We start from the raw sequence: 15014 nt of genomic DNA, 5'->3' as shown, positions 1-15014 counted from the left end.
CTAGGAAGCCCCTTAGACCAACACGGACGCCGAGCTTCGGGTAACTCTCACAGTGGAAGGTAAGCCCATCCCCTTCTTAATCAATATGGAGGCTACCCACTCCACATTACCTTCTTTTCAAGGGCCTGTTTCCCTTGCCTCCATAACTGTTGTGGGTATTGATGGTCAGGCTTCTAAACCTCTTAAAACTCCCCAACTCTGGTGCCAACTTAGACAATACTCTTTTAAGCACTCCTTTTTAGTTATCCCCACCTGCCCAGTTCCCTTATTAGGCTGAGACACTTTAACTAAATTATCTGCTTCCCTGACTATTCCTGGACTACAGCTATATCTCATTGCCGCCCTTCTTCCCAATCCAAAGCCTCCTTTGCGTCCTCCTCTTGTATCCCCCCACCTTAACCCACAAATATAAGATACCTCTACTCCCTCCTTGGTGACCGATCATGCATCCCTTACCATCTTATTAAAACCTAATCACCCTTACCCTACTCAACGCCAATATCCCGTCCCGCAACACGCTTTAAAAAGATTAAAGCCTGTTATCACTCACCTGCTATAGCATGGCCTTTTAAAGCCTATAAACTCTCCTTACAATTCCCCCATTTTTACCTGTCCTAAAACCAGACAAGCCTTACAAGTTAGTTCAGGATCTTCGCCTTATCAACCAAATTGTTTTGCCTATCCACCCTGTGGTGCCCAACCCAGTACACTCTTTTGTCCTCAATAACTTCCTCCACAACTCACTATTCCATGCTTGATCTTAAAGATGCTTTTTTCACTATTCCCCTGCACCCCTTGTCCCAGCCTCTCTTTGCTTTCACTTAGACTGACCCTGACACCCATTAGGCTCAGCAAATTACCTAGGCTGTACTGCCGCAAGGCTTCATAGACAGCCCCCATTACTTCAGTCAAGCCCAAATTTCATCCTCATCTGTTACCTATCTCGGCATAATTCTCATAAAAACGTACGTGCTTTCCCTGCTGATCGTGTCCGATTAATCTCCCAAACCTCAATCCCTTACAAAACAACAACTCATTTCCTTCCTAGGCATAGTGTGGTCAGAATTCTTACACAAGAGCCAGGACTGCACCCTGTAGCCTTTCTGTGCAAACAACTTGACCTTACTGTTTTAGCCTAGCCCTCATGTCTGTGTGCAGTGGCTGCCACTGCTTTAATACTTTTAGGGGCCCTCAAAATCACAAACTATGCTCAACTCACTCTCTACAGTTCTCATAACTTCCAAAATCTATTTTCTTCCTCACACCTGACGCATATACTTTCTGCTCCCCGGCTCCTTCAGCTGTACTCACTCTTTAAGTCCCACAATTACCATTGTTCCTGGCCCAGACTTCAATCTGGCCTCCCACATTATTCCTGATACCACACCTGACCCCCATGACTGTATCTCTCTGATCCACCTGACATTCACCCCATTTCCCCAAATTTCCTTCTTTCCTGTTCCTCACCCTGATCACGCTTAATTTATTGATGGCGGTTCCACCAGGCCTAATCGCCACACACCAGCAAAGGCAGGTTATGCTATAGTACAAGCCACTAGCCCGCCTCTTAGAACCTCTCATTTCCTTTCCATCGTGGAAATCTATCCTCAAGGAAATAACTTCTCAGTGTTCCATCTGCTATTCTACTACTCCTCAGGGATTATTCAGGCCGCCTCCCTTCCCTACACATCAAGCTCGAGGATTTGCCCCACCCAGGACTGGCAAATTAGCTTTACTCAACGTGACCTGAGTCAGATAACTAAAATACCTCTTAGTCTAGGTAGATACTTTCACTGGATAGGTAGAGGCCTTTCCTACAGGGTCTGAGAAGGCCACCGCAGTCATTTCTTCCGTTCTGTCAGACATAATTCCTCAGTTTAGCCTTCCCACCTCAATACAGTCTGATAACAGATGAGCCTTTATTAGTCAAATCAGCCAAGCAGTTTTTCAGGCTCTTAGTATTCAGTGAAAACTTTATATCCCTTACGGTCCTCCGTCTTCAAGAAAAATAGAATGGACTAAAGGTCTTTTAAAAACACACCTCACCAAGCTCAGCCACCAAAAAGGACTGGACACTACTTTTACCACTTTCCCTTCTCAGAATTCAGGCCTGTCCTCGGAATGCTACAGGGTACAGCCCATTTAAGCTCCTGTATAGATGCTCCTTTTTATTAGGCCCCAGTCTCATTGCAGACACCAGACCAACTTAGACTGTGCCCCAAAAAACTTGTCATCCCTACTATCTTCTGTCTAGTCATACTCCTATTCACCATTCTCAACTACTCATAAATGCCCTGCTTTTGTTTACACTGCCGGTTTACACTGTTTTCCCAAGCCACCACAGCTGATATCTCCTGGTGCTATCACCAAACTGCCACTCTTAACTCTTGAAGTAAATAAATAATCTTTGCTGGCAGGACTATGCTGAATCTCCTTAGGCACTCTCTAATCAGATATCCTGAGTCGTCCCAATTCTTGGACCTTTTATACCTGTTTTTCTCCTTCTGTTATTCCATTTAGTTTCTCAATTCATCCAAAACCATATCCAGGCCATCACCAATCATTCTATACGACAAATGTTTCTTCTAACATCCCCACAATATCACCCCTTACCACAAGACCTCCCTTCAGCTTAATCTCTCCCACTCTAGGTTCCCACGACGCCCCTAATCCCACTTGAAGCAGCCCTGAGAAACATCGCCCATTCTCTCTCCATACCACCCCCCAAAAATTTTCGCCACCCCAACACTTCAACACTATTTTGTTTTATTTTTCTTATTAATATAAGAAGGCAGGAATGTCTATCTGCTTGAAGTGAGGAGAACATATGTTGTTGAGGAAGAGTAATTATTTTTATACACTATGTATAATAGGTGTGCAATTAATGTGAATGAATGAATAAAGAAATCAATGAATGAATGGAATGAGATTATGTTTGTAGACTGAATGGAAGAAGCCAGTGAAGAGGAAGAGACTGAAAGTAGAGGAAAAGATGAGAGAAATAACAGAGCAAGATTCCCAAGTGAGAGTGGCAAACTCCTGGGCTTGATCTAGAATGCTTCTTATACCCTACACAGGGTGAGATCATTATTGTATTAGTGGCTTGATATGGGACATCTGCGTGGGGACAGAGTAGATCCATCCATACAGAGATAGGAGAAATTGCTCTTATAGAAAAAATGTAGTAAAATATACTCAGTACAAGGGAAATATGTAAATTTACATTTGTATAGAAAGTATTTCAAGATATACCAGGACAGAAGCCTTCCCTTCATCCCCAGTCTCACTTCCTATAGTCTCACCTGCAAGGCCCTGATGAGATTGTCCACTCCTATCTGCACACGCCATGAACATTGTCAGGCCTCTGAGCTCAAGCCAAGCTATCGCATCCCCTGTGACTTGCACGTGTATGCCCAGATGGCCTGAAGTAACTGAAGAATCACAAAAGAAGTGAATATGCCCTGCCCCACCTTAACTGATGACATTCCACTACAAAAGAAGTGTAAATGGCCGGTCCTTGCCTTAAGTGATGACATTACCTTGTGAAAGTCCTTTTCCTGGGTCATCCTGGCTCAAAAAGCACCCCCACTGAGCACCTTGCAACCCCCCACTCCTGCCCGCCAGAGAACAAACCCCCTTTGACTGTAATTTTCCTTTACCTACCCAAATCCTATAAAACGGCCCCACCCTTATCTCCCTTCGCTGACTCTCTTTTTGTACTCAGCCCGCCTGCACCCAGGTGAAATAAACAGCCATGTTGCTCACACAAAGCGTGTTTGGTGGTCTCTTCACAGGGACGCGCATGAAAAACATGGTGGCTGCTGATTAACTCAAAAATATGCATATGACATCTTGGGCCTGCTCTCATCTTGCCCTTCCTATGGCTTACCTCCCAGGACCATGTTGATGCCTACCAAATTGTTTCCTTTTCTGCTTCACAAACTCCTAGTTTGAGTTCCTTTCAAGTGTGTAGACCTTTACTGCAGGACACTATGTTTGTTGACACAGGGAGTTCAATGAAGAAGACAAATCCTGTCTTCAAGGTGGTTAAAATTGGGCAGGTGTCCCTCAGCCTTGCTATTCAGTTTCCTTGCCCTGAGGTCAAGGAATCACAGACTTTGGCATTGCAAGGAACAATGGAAAAGAACTCTCCTCACGTTATAAATGCTGAAAGCCAAAGGCTTACTGAAGGATGGGTTTGTCCACGGCCATAAAATGAGGTAGTGCTAGAGCCAGAGCCCCTGATTCCAAACCAATGCCTTTCTCTGTATCATGATGCTTAAAAGGAAGAGATGCTCTTGAGTAACTAACATTTAGAAGATTAATAAGAAACAACACAGTAAGGGATGGTAGAGAAGGAAGACATAGTCTTTGTCTTTCAGGGTCTTGCAAGTAACACAGAGTCATAAGTAATTTAATTGCTTTTTAAAAAAGATTAAATGCTGAAATGGACATATAAGTGAATGCAATAGAAGGCTCTTGAAAACTGAGACTGGACTTGATTCTGGCACAGTACTCAGCACCCAGTAGATATTCAATAAATGAATGCTATGAGCATTTGTAAATTACAATGTGCTCATCTCATAGAGTTTGGCATTCAAATAGACATTTACAGATTTTTCTTTGGGAAAGGGAGTTGACCAAAATATAACACTTAAAAAAAAATGGTGGCATAAAAACAACAGAAGTACAAGTGTTGATAGAGTTCTCAGTTGTTCATGTCAAACTCCATCTCTCTGAAATGTTCTATAATCCTCTCTGTGTGGTATCTTTCTCTCAGCTTATTTCAAACATGTATATGGCTTTGGACAAAATAAGACAAGTATTTCCTGAATCGTTTGACATTCAGCTGTTGCTGAAGATGTTAAAACTACAAGCAAACCTGCTAATCGTCAGCAACAAAGCAGGTTAATCCTGGCTGACTGGCGATTTGTTTGGGAACCTTTGGAGCAACAGAGAGATTCAAGTTTATAAAAAGAGATAAATAGTCAGTTAGAGATTAGAAATGAAAGAAGGAAAAGACTTCTTTTCCCCAGACCACACACTGACAGGGAATCTTCCTTGAGCAATTGTTCAAGAATGTTTCATGTTCTTCCCCTCTCTCCTGCCCTTGGCTTCTCCCCTGCCCATTCCTCCTCCTCCCTCAGCCACAGAAGGCTTGACTGGCAGTTGTCACCACTGATAGAGAGAGGAAGATACTTCAGAAAAGAGGGAGGGAGCGGGGGAGGCCGACTCGTCAAAAGCAATGGTCGTCAAAAGATGATTCCCTCTTTCTGTGTGTGTTTTGTCTCTCTTTAAATTATTCAAATCTGGGTGGCATTTAGGATAACTGGCATTTTGACACAGCTTAAAGGATTTTCTCACGAACGCTATTGAACTGAAGCTTCCACCCTTTAAAAAATGTATAAAAAGAGATCTTTTGTATAATCTGACATGTCTACAAATGAAAGTCAGTTTCATGAAAAAATCTGTAAATATATATATTTATTGGTCAGTCTTTCTCCCTTTTCTATCTATTATTTTTTTATTATACTTACAGTTTTGGGATACATGTGCAGAACGTGTAGGTTTGTTACATACGTATACACATGCCATGGTGGTTTGCTGCACCCATCAACCCGTCATCTGCATTAGGTATTTCTCCTAATGCTATCCCACCCCCTGAGAGGCCCTGGTGTGAGATGTTCCCCTCCCTGTGTCCATGTGTTCTCATTATTCAACTCCTACTTATGAGTGAGTACGTGTGGCGTTTGGTTTTCTGTTCCTGTGTTAGTTTGCTGAGAATGATGGTTTCCAGTTTCATCCATGTCCCTGCAAAGGACATGAATTCATCCTTTTTATGGCTGCATAATATTCCATGATGTATATGTGCCACATTTTCTTTATCCAGTCTATTATTGATGGGCATTTGGGTTGGTTCCAAGTCTTTGCTATTGTAAATAGTGCTGCAATAAACATACATTTGCATGTGTCTTTATAGTAGGATGATTTATAATGCTTTGGGTATATACCCAGTAATGGGATTGCTGGGTCAAATGTTACTTCTGGTACTAGATCCTTGAGGAATTGCCACACTGTCTTCTATAATGGTTGAACTAATTTACACTTCCACCAACAGTGTATAAGCATTCCTATTTGTCCACATCCTTGCCAGCATCTGTTTTTTCCTGACTTTTTAATGATCGCCATTCTAACTGGTGTGAGATGGTATCTCATTGTGGTTTTGATTTGCATTTCTCTGATGGCCAGGGATGATGAGCGGTTTTTCATATGTTTGTTGGCCACATAAAAGTCTTCTTTTGAGGAGTGTCTGTTCATATCCTTTGCCCACTTTTTGATGGGCTTATTTGTTTTTTTCTTGTAAATTTGTTTATGTTCCTTGTAGATTCTGGATATTAGCCCTTTGTCAGATGGATAGATTGCAAAAATTTTCTCCCATTCTGTAGGTTGTCTGTTCAGTCTGATGACAGTTTCTTTTGCTGTGCAGAAGCTCTTTAGTTTAATTAGATCCCATTTGTCAATTTTGGCTTTTGTTGCCATTGCTTTTGGTGTTTCACTCATGAAGTCTTTGCCCATGCCTATATCCTGAATGGTATTGCCTAGGTTTTCTTCTAGGGTTTTTATGGTTTTAGTTCTTATGTTTAAGTCTTTAATCCATCTCAAGTTAATGTTTGTATAAGGTGTAAGGAAGGGGTCCAGTTTCAGTTTTCTGCATATGGAAACAGGCTAAATGCCCCAATTAAAAGACACAGACTGGCAAATTGGATAAAGAGTCAAGACCTCCATGGGAGTGGGATCCACTGACCTAGACCACTTGGCTCCCTGGCTTCAGCCCCCTTTCCAGGGGAATGAACAGTTCTGTCTCCCTGGCATTCCAGGTGCCACTGGGATATGAAAAAAAACTCCTGCAGCTAGCTCAGTGTTTGCCCAAACAGCCACCCAGTTTTGTGCTTGAAACCCAGGGCCCTGGTGGTGTAGACACCTGAGGGAATCTCTTCTACGTGTTCAGAGATTGCATAACAGGGTTGTGGTAACAATTCAAATGTAAAATGGCAGTTAATAAGATTCTTGCTAAGATTTTTTTATTTTTTAATTTTTTGCAATTCTCATTCTGTAAATTGGAAAGGTCAATCTACTGTGGAAATGACCAGAAAGGACAAATAGCTTTTCTTATTTTCTGCCTCATATTTCTCCTTTATTAGTGCATGTAACAGAGATGATTATATATTTTCTCCTTTTGAGCCAAAATCCTGAGCCACTTGTCACAGTCCACAGCCTGACTCCACAATTCAAATAAAAAGTAGACACCTCTGCCTCTGCCTGCCGTGTCTGGGTAGTACCAGAATTACCTAAGACAGATGCAAGAGTCCAGTGAAGCATTTCCCAGAATACTTCGGTTTTGCAGTTTGCCACTAGTATTTAGTGGCACCAATTCAAATCCCTATGCTCAGTACTAGAGAGGTCAAAGAGTGTACAGGGAGTAAATATTCAGAGGACATCACTGTCAACTTGAAATTATTTTATTAAGTGCCAATATTGTGCAACCATTGTCTGTAGCTAAAACCAGGTTTAGTCTATTTTTCCTGACCTCAGGAAGAGTATATTCTAGTGGGGAGAAAGAAAGACTTTTTTTTTTTTTTTTGAAGCGGAGTTCATTCTTGTTGCCCAGGCTGGAGTTCATTGGTGAGATCTCCACTCACCGCAACTTCCGCCTCCCAGGTTCAAGTGATTCTCCTGCCTCAGCCTCTTGAGTAGTTGGGATTACAGGAGTGCACCACCACACTCAGCCAATTTTTGTATTTTTAGTAGAGACGGGTTTTGCCATGTTGGCCAGGATAGTCTCGAACTCCTGACCTCAGGTAATCCACTCACCTCGCCTCCCAAAATGCTGGGATTACAGGCGTGAGCCACCGTGCCTGGCCGAGGATTTCGTTTCTATAAGTGAAAAGGGATGATGAGATATGCAGCAACAAATGAATGGTATAGACAAGAAATGTGTCAGGATTTCAACAGTAAGTGAGATAACCAGGGGCTCTGATAAGAAAGATGTTAGCAAGGACCCCTGGGACCACACTAGGAAGGGACAGATTGATGCAGCATGGGAGTAAGGGGGGCTCTACAAGGAAGGAAAGGCTGTGAGCAAATATATATAACTATATATAGAGAGGAATAGCAGTTCTTTCTTTGTGAAAAACATTTCACTGCACACTAAGCTTCAGACTGAGTTCTGTAAGTAGTGGCAAGCCTCTCATGAAGGTTTTGAGTAGGAAAGTAGCCGGCACAGCATGGGGAGATGTGTCTGTGATCTGTACGGTGTTCTGGAGTGAGCAGTAACAGCAGAAAAAGGAGTTATATCTAATTTTTTGGAAGTAGCTTTTTTTTTTTTTTTTTGAGACAGGGTCTCACTCTGTCACCCCTAAGCTGAAGGGCAGTGGTATGATCATGGCCCACTGCAGCCTCGACCTCTGAGGCTCAAGGGATCCTCCTGCCTCAGCCTCCCAAGTAGCTAGGACTACATGCATGCACCATGACACTCAGCTAATTTTTTGTTTGTTTGTGTGTTTTTTTGTAAAGACAGGGTCTTGCTATGCTGACCAGGCTGGTCTTGAACTAGCTTCAAGTGATTCTCTCGCCTCGGCCTCCCAAAATGCTGAGATTACAGGTGTGAGCCGCTGCACTCATCTAAGAAGCAGCTTCTTTTAACAAGCATGTTTCAGCACTTCAATGTGTTCTGGACCAGAATTTTATAACCATGTTAACCAGAGAAATAGGTCTTGTCAGCCAGGAGTGGTAGCTCACGCTTGTAATCCCAGCACTTTGGGAGGTCGAGGCGGGGAGATCACTTGAGGTCAGCAATTTGAGACAACCCTCGCCAACACGGTGAAACCCTGTCTCTACTAAAAATACAAAAATGAGCCAGGGGTGGTGGTGCGTGCCTGTATTCCCAGCTACTTGGGAAGCTGAGGCAGGGGAATCCCTTGAACCTGGGAGGCAGAGGTTACAGTGAGCCAAGATCTCACAACTGCACTCCAGCCTGGGCCACAGAGCGGGACTCCATCTCAAAAAAAGAAAGAGAGAAAAAGAAATTAGGTCTTGGCTTACAATGGAGGACTTGGTGTTTGTCCTCAGTGTGACCTTGGGGAATGGACATGATCTCTGGGTTTGGTTCTGCATCTGAAAAATGGGACCAAAATGACACACCCTGCCTTCCTTATTGGATTCTATATTGTGAAGATAAACTTCAATGATCTTAAAAAAGTATTGTTTTCCATTCCCAGCACTTTAGGAGGCCGAGGCGGGTGGATCACGAGGTCAGGAGATCGAGACTATCCTGGCTAACACGGTGAAACCCCATCTCTACTAAAAAAATACAAAAAAAAATTAGCCAGGCGTGGTGGCAGGAGCCTACTGTAGTCCCAGCTACTCGGGAGGCTGAGGCAGGAGAATGGCGTGAACCCGGGAGGTGGAGCCTGCAGCGAGCAGAGATTGTGCCACTGCACTCCAGCCTGGGTGACAGAGCGAGACTCTGTCTCAAAAAAAAAAAAAGAAAAAAAAGTATTGTTCTCCACCAGAGAGAATTCTGGGTCTGAAATTTCACATTTTAAAGTGTAAAAAGAAATAACAGAACACAAATAATTATACATCTGACCCCAAACCTGCAAAGAAGCGAATCCATACTCCCTAGAGCTGTCACCTCAGAAAGAATCCTATTCCTAGAATCCAATAATTGTGTTGCCAAAGACCATAGGCTCATATTAGAGAGAAGAAGGAAAGACAGAGAGAAAATTTATCTTAGTTTCTTGGTCAGTATGTATGCCAGAGAGTCCAAACTTCTCTCTGAATCTGTGATCGGTGACTTTGACCACAACTGGGAGAACTCTCCCTTCGAGAAATTAGGTCAACATCATTTTTGCCTTTTGATATGGTAGGCTGGCATGACATGAGAGAATGCACTCTGTGAGAATGAACTCTATTTTCTCCTCTCCGAGAGGGAGACACTTGAGATATTTATGTCTTCTTAGAAGATTTAGAAATTTGCAGCAGAGGAAACCTTATTCCCAGGTTTTTCTTTCTCATCCAGCATGTTTAGAAAGTCTCATTTCTATTTCTCTTTTGAGTACTGTGTTCCAAGGCTCAGGCATTTTCATTCTGTCTAAGGGTGGACATCACAGCATCAGCTTTGCTATGGATAGAGCTAGGTTGGAGGGTGCACTTTCTTGATCATTCAGATGGGCTGGCTTGCTTTCCTCTTTGAAGGCACCAGCCCTGAAATCCCAGCCTTTATACAAAGTGTGAAGGACAGAGCAGAATCTCTTATCCAGGATTACTGCCTTTTGTAGATGCTGTCTGGGCAAAGAGAGATGAAAAGAGAATAAATCTTTGGGGGTTATAGCCTTTTAATTGATCAGAGGCTGTTACTCATCCATTAGGTTACTCATTCCTTCTCTGTGGAGAGGGATACAGAAGTGATGGGGTAAGAGGCCAGGAGGGATACTCAAGTGGAGGTCCTTCCATGCAGAAAAATCCCTGAGAAATATTTTATTAGCACCAGTGTCATTATCAGATTTTTATTAATACTTGTATTAGTATATATATATGAGTTTTGGTATTAATATTAATATATGTATTTATATTTGCATTAGTATTGGTATAATCATTATTATTAGTATCAGTGTCAGAGTTAGTGTTAGTATTAATATAATAAAGTGTTAGTATTAATATAATAAAACATCCAGAACAATATTGTGGCACAAATGGGGGTTCAAGACATGTTTATTTCTTCCCCTGCACTGAGATTTCCCCCTTTGTCTTTTGGGAAAGATTAGTACTTTCTCTTCCATGCAATAAATATGTATTAAGAATCATTTTGCTAAATCAAATGAACTGCCACTGCAGAGTATTGTCTTTGGTATATAGAGAATATTCTTGCTCGAGAGGAATGTTGCATAGTAGATTTATTCCTGGGAACATGGTGCAGCCTTCTGCAGAGAAGGAAAACTATTTGGACAATTTTGGTGAGGTTTGGTCTAGGAAAGGTAAGTAAAGAGGTCAGGATGTCAGGGGATGGTGATGGTGGCACGGCATCAACAAAAACTCCCTCCCTCCATGGGCCAAGCTTGGAAAGATGCAACAGAAATAGTGATAAGCAATTCAATAGACTCATCCCGCTAAGTTGGAGAAAATCTCTTGGGATTTTCAGTGGACTCCCTTAACTATGACCGTTATTTCCACACAACCAATAAGGGCAATGGAGATGTTTCCCCCTAAAATATCTTCCCTGGGGAGAACTTGATTTTCTTGGGGTGATCTCGATTTGCTCTTACATCAGCAATCTTATTACTCAGGATAAATTTTTAAAATCACAGCTTGTTGGCCCGTCTTTTGAATTAGGATGCCACTTGCTGGATAAACCAGATCTCCGTGCGGGGATAACTGAGCTGGTCCCACTAAAGTGAGGTGGGACCCAGTCAGTAGAAACTGCATTTGTCAGTAATTTGGAAAGGAGGATGTTCAGACCATTGTTCTGTGCCTCTGTTTCTTCCTCACAAAGATAGACATCATTCAACAAGCCTTCGTGAAGCATCTGAATAGCCCCCAAATCATCCCTACAGGACAAAAAGAAAAGGAGAAACTACAGACTTGTACTAATGGACTGTACAATGAAATTTTTCTTTTTATCTTCTGTGATATCTGACAAAGCTAATATTCTAAGGCACAAGCATCCAGTCATGGAAGCTATAGTGTAATTATTCAGAGAACAGGCTCCTTGTTCAAACTTGATGGGAACAAGTTCAGTATTCAAGTTAAGCCACCTGAATATTAAATGGGGTATTACATACAAAGTGCTTAGAAAAGTGCCAAACTCTGTTAAGGAAGTACTTAAAGAGCATTAGTGATCATTGTCATTGTTAATCATGATCATTGTCCTTTCATCTGATCATTGTTGAACAAACAGGACTTAAAAATAAGCTGGTCCACTTTTTCTCAGCTCATGTGCTGGGTATCAATCCATGGAAAATGAGATTCATGAAATTCTGTCCTATTGAAAACCCCAGACTCAGTCCAAAGGCAGAGAACTCAGATTTTAAATACAAATTATGGGGAAAAGACAGCTGGGGGACTCATAGTCCATGGTCAAAAATGAAACAGTAGAACTGCAGCAATCGGAAACTTTCTGGTGAGTTTTTCTCAGATCCCTAGATTCCTCTGGACAGATTTTCCTATTTGATCCTTGACTTTCATTTTTTGCACCCGTGTGTTGAATCTCCTCGAGAAAACTAAAGATGGTACAACTGCACGAAGATCCAGGGGAGAGGAAGGAGTGCTGGCCAGTGTTCCTGGGATGGCTTCTGTTTTGCTGGCACTGAGGACATATGCTTTGCTATGCTAGTGAAGCATAAACACTTATGCTTTAGATATGCATGCTTCCCTTTGAACACAAGAACACATATCCCCAAATTAATTCAAGCCCTTCTAGAGTCTAGCTAGCTGATTTGGGGAGAGATGCCTAATCTCTGTTCAATAAAGAGATTTACAAAATTTTTGTGTGGTTGAAAGCAATGATAATCTTGAGTAGGATCTGGAGTTAGACACCATAAGTTCCAATCCTGATCCTATCACTTACTTGAGCTTGGGCAAGTCATTCTCCTGGCATCAGTTTCCTCCTCTGTGAAATGGGAATGACAGTAGCACTGTACTATTGTTAAGAGGATGAGATCTCTTATGGAAAGTACTTAGTACCTGGCACATCATAAGCCTAAGGATTCTTCAGCTTTGAGCAATACTGCCTTTGATTGTGACCTAAAATATTTTTTTTAATTCCAGCATTTTAAATTGTGACCTTATTCTGAGATTTGGTAAAAACATCCAAAGTTTGCATAGTATTTTCATTATTGTAGAACTTTAATAATATAATCACTTAAAGTAGTATAATGTCTTAATTATATATATATATGCATACATACACCATATATATATATATGTAGTGCGTGTGTGTATCTAACTGCAGAATAGTAGGTTATCAATGAGTTTCAAACATATCTGGAGCCAAATGTTTATTGTTAAAGTCAGGAGGATGCCTACAATAATCATAGATACTATGTTTCAGGATAGCCAAATTGGATAAGTAGTAAGGACAAGTGTTTTTTTAGGGAAGTATGATGATAATGATAAATAATGATAAAATAATAGAATTAACTATGCTAATAACGATAAAATAATAGAATTAACATTCTACTATGTCTCAACTCCCAGTGATTTAATGAACATAGACAATGACTTTTGGTAGCTACTAACATCACAAAAAGAGAGACAAACAGATGTCATGTGCCTGCTGATGGATATACCCAACACTATCCATGAAATAGTTTTGCCCTCCCCCCAAAATCTGAACCTGAGTCTGGTCAACAAATTCACTAAACATATAGGGAACTGAGGAACACATTCAACACCACCAGAGAGATGTAGTTAGCAAAACTCAAACTATTTGAGACACTAAAGAACAAATAACCTGTTTCTTCAACAACGTTAAACAAAAAACATAAAAGGAAAACATCTAAATGAAAAGAGGAAACAAATACATTAGTTAACTGCATTTTATGGACCTCCTTTTGATCCCAATTTGAATAAACAAACTGTGAAAAGGAGAAACACATGTATAAGACAATCAAATATCAACATTGACCAGGTATTTGATGATATTAAAGAATAATTATATTAAGGAATAATTATTAATTTTGGTGGGTAATAAGAATATTGAAGTTATGTTTTAAAAAGGTAACACATGGTTATCTTTGTGGAAAGAAAAAATATAGGTAATAAATATTAAACCTTATCTCACACTATGTACAATATTTAGTTCAAAATGAATCAAATATTATAAGAGCTACAACTGTTAAAGTTCTAGAAGAAAACTTAAGATAAAATTTTGTTTAGGCAAAGTTTCTTATATAGGACACTAAATGTACTCTTTATGAAAGAAAAAATTATAAAATGTACCTTAAAATTTAAAAAAATGCTTTCAAACAATAATGTTGAGGGAGCAAAAGGGACTGAGAAAAATATTTGCAACATATATATCTGACAAGTGCCACTGTGTATTAGTTATCTATTACTGTGTACCATTATTCCAGAACATAGTAGCTTAAAATAAGCATTTACTGTTTCCCACTGTTTCTGAGAGCCGGGAATCTAGGAATGATTTAGCTGGTTGTTCTGAATGATTTAGCTGGGTCTTTCACTAGATTGCAATCAGGTTGACTTCCCCAGCCTTAGCCTTGTGATTCTCAAGGCTGGAGAACTGACCTTCCTGCTCACTCTCATGGTTGGTGTCAGGACTCAGTTTCTCTCTGGATGTTGGCTGGATGCCTTCATTCCTTAGCACCTGGCCAGCTTCGTAAGTTGCCTGGCAGCTGGCTTCTCTCACAGCAAGTGATTTGAGAGACAAAACCTAAGATGGAAGCCACAGTTTTCATAACTTAATCTTAGTAGTAACAGGCTCAGGCTGCTGAATGGGATTCCTCTAAAGTTTATATGTTGAAGCCTTAACTCCCAACATGACTGTTTTTGGATAGGGCTTTTAGGAAGTAATAAAGGTTAAATGAGGTCCTAATGATGAGGTCCTAATTAGATAGGATTGGTGGCCTTATAAGAAGAGGAAGTGCCACCAGAGGTTGCATTAGTTTTTAAAGATGTTTAGATAAACAAAATCTCCACATGCACAAAAAAGCTTTCTGTATACCTTCTGTTAGAAATAGAGGGTGTTGTAGGATATGCTCCAAAAAAGCAAGAGAGAAAACCCAGAAAGAGAACTCAGGAAACAATAATCCAGCCAACAAAGAGCTGTAGGGAATCTACAGAATGATCACTGCTTGCTGAGACTAAAGAACAATCAATCCAGATGGAAAAAGGGTGGAGAGCTCCAGCAGGAGATTTTACAAGATGGAGTCTCGCTTTGTCATCCGGGCTGGATGTGGTGCGATCATAGCTCTGCCTACTCGAACTCCTGGGCTCAA

The 15014-nt window shown here is 41.0% G+C and overlaps 1 protein-coding gene across 6 annotated transcripts in view, besides 2 other annotated features; it reads left to right on the top strand.

The window, feature by feature from the left end:
- C12orf42 (chromosome 12 open reading frame 42) overlaps nt 1–15014 on the top strand; it is a 516167-nt gene that overhangs the window by 337869 nt on the left and 163284 nt on the right. The gene's annotated exons all lie outside the window — the stretch shown is intronic.
- Nucleotides 3140–4121: an enhancer, noted in NCBI's record as "OCT4-NANOG-H3K27ac hESC enhancer chr12:103615579-103616560 (GRCh37/hg19 assembly coordinates)". NCBI's record gives its function as "activates a minimal SCP1, AML or CMV promoter by ChIP-STARR-seq in naive H9 embryonic stem cells {active_cell/tissue: H9 hESC(naive)}" and the evidence as "EXISTENCE:reporter gene assay evidence [ECO:0000049][PMID:30033119]".
- Nucleotides 4380–5756: an enhancer, noted in NCBI's record as "VISTA enhancer hs1723". NCBI's record gives its function as "enhancer in: midbrain (mesencephalon)[7/8] | forebrain[5/8]" and the evidence as "EXISTENCE:transgenic organism evidence [ECO:0001131][PMID:17130149]".

The sequence above is a fragment of the Homo sapiens genome, chromosome 12 (genome assembly GCF_000001405.40).
Source record: "Homo sapiens chromosome 12, GRCh38.p14 Primary Assembly".
Taxonomy (NCBI): domain Eukaryota; kingdom Metazoa; phylum Chordata; class Mammalia; order Primates; family Hominidae; genus Homo; species Homo sapiens.
The sequence above is the reverse complement of the archived record's forward strand: the minus strand, read 5'-3'. Positions and strand labels throughout refer to the sequence as shown.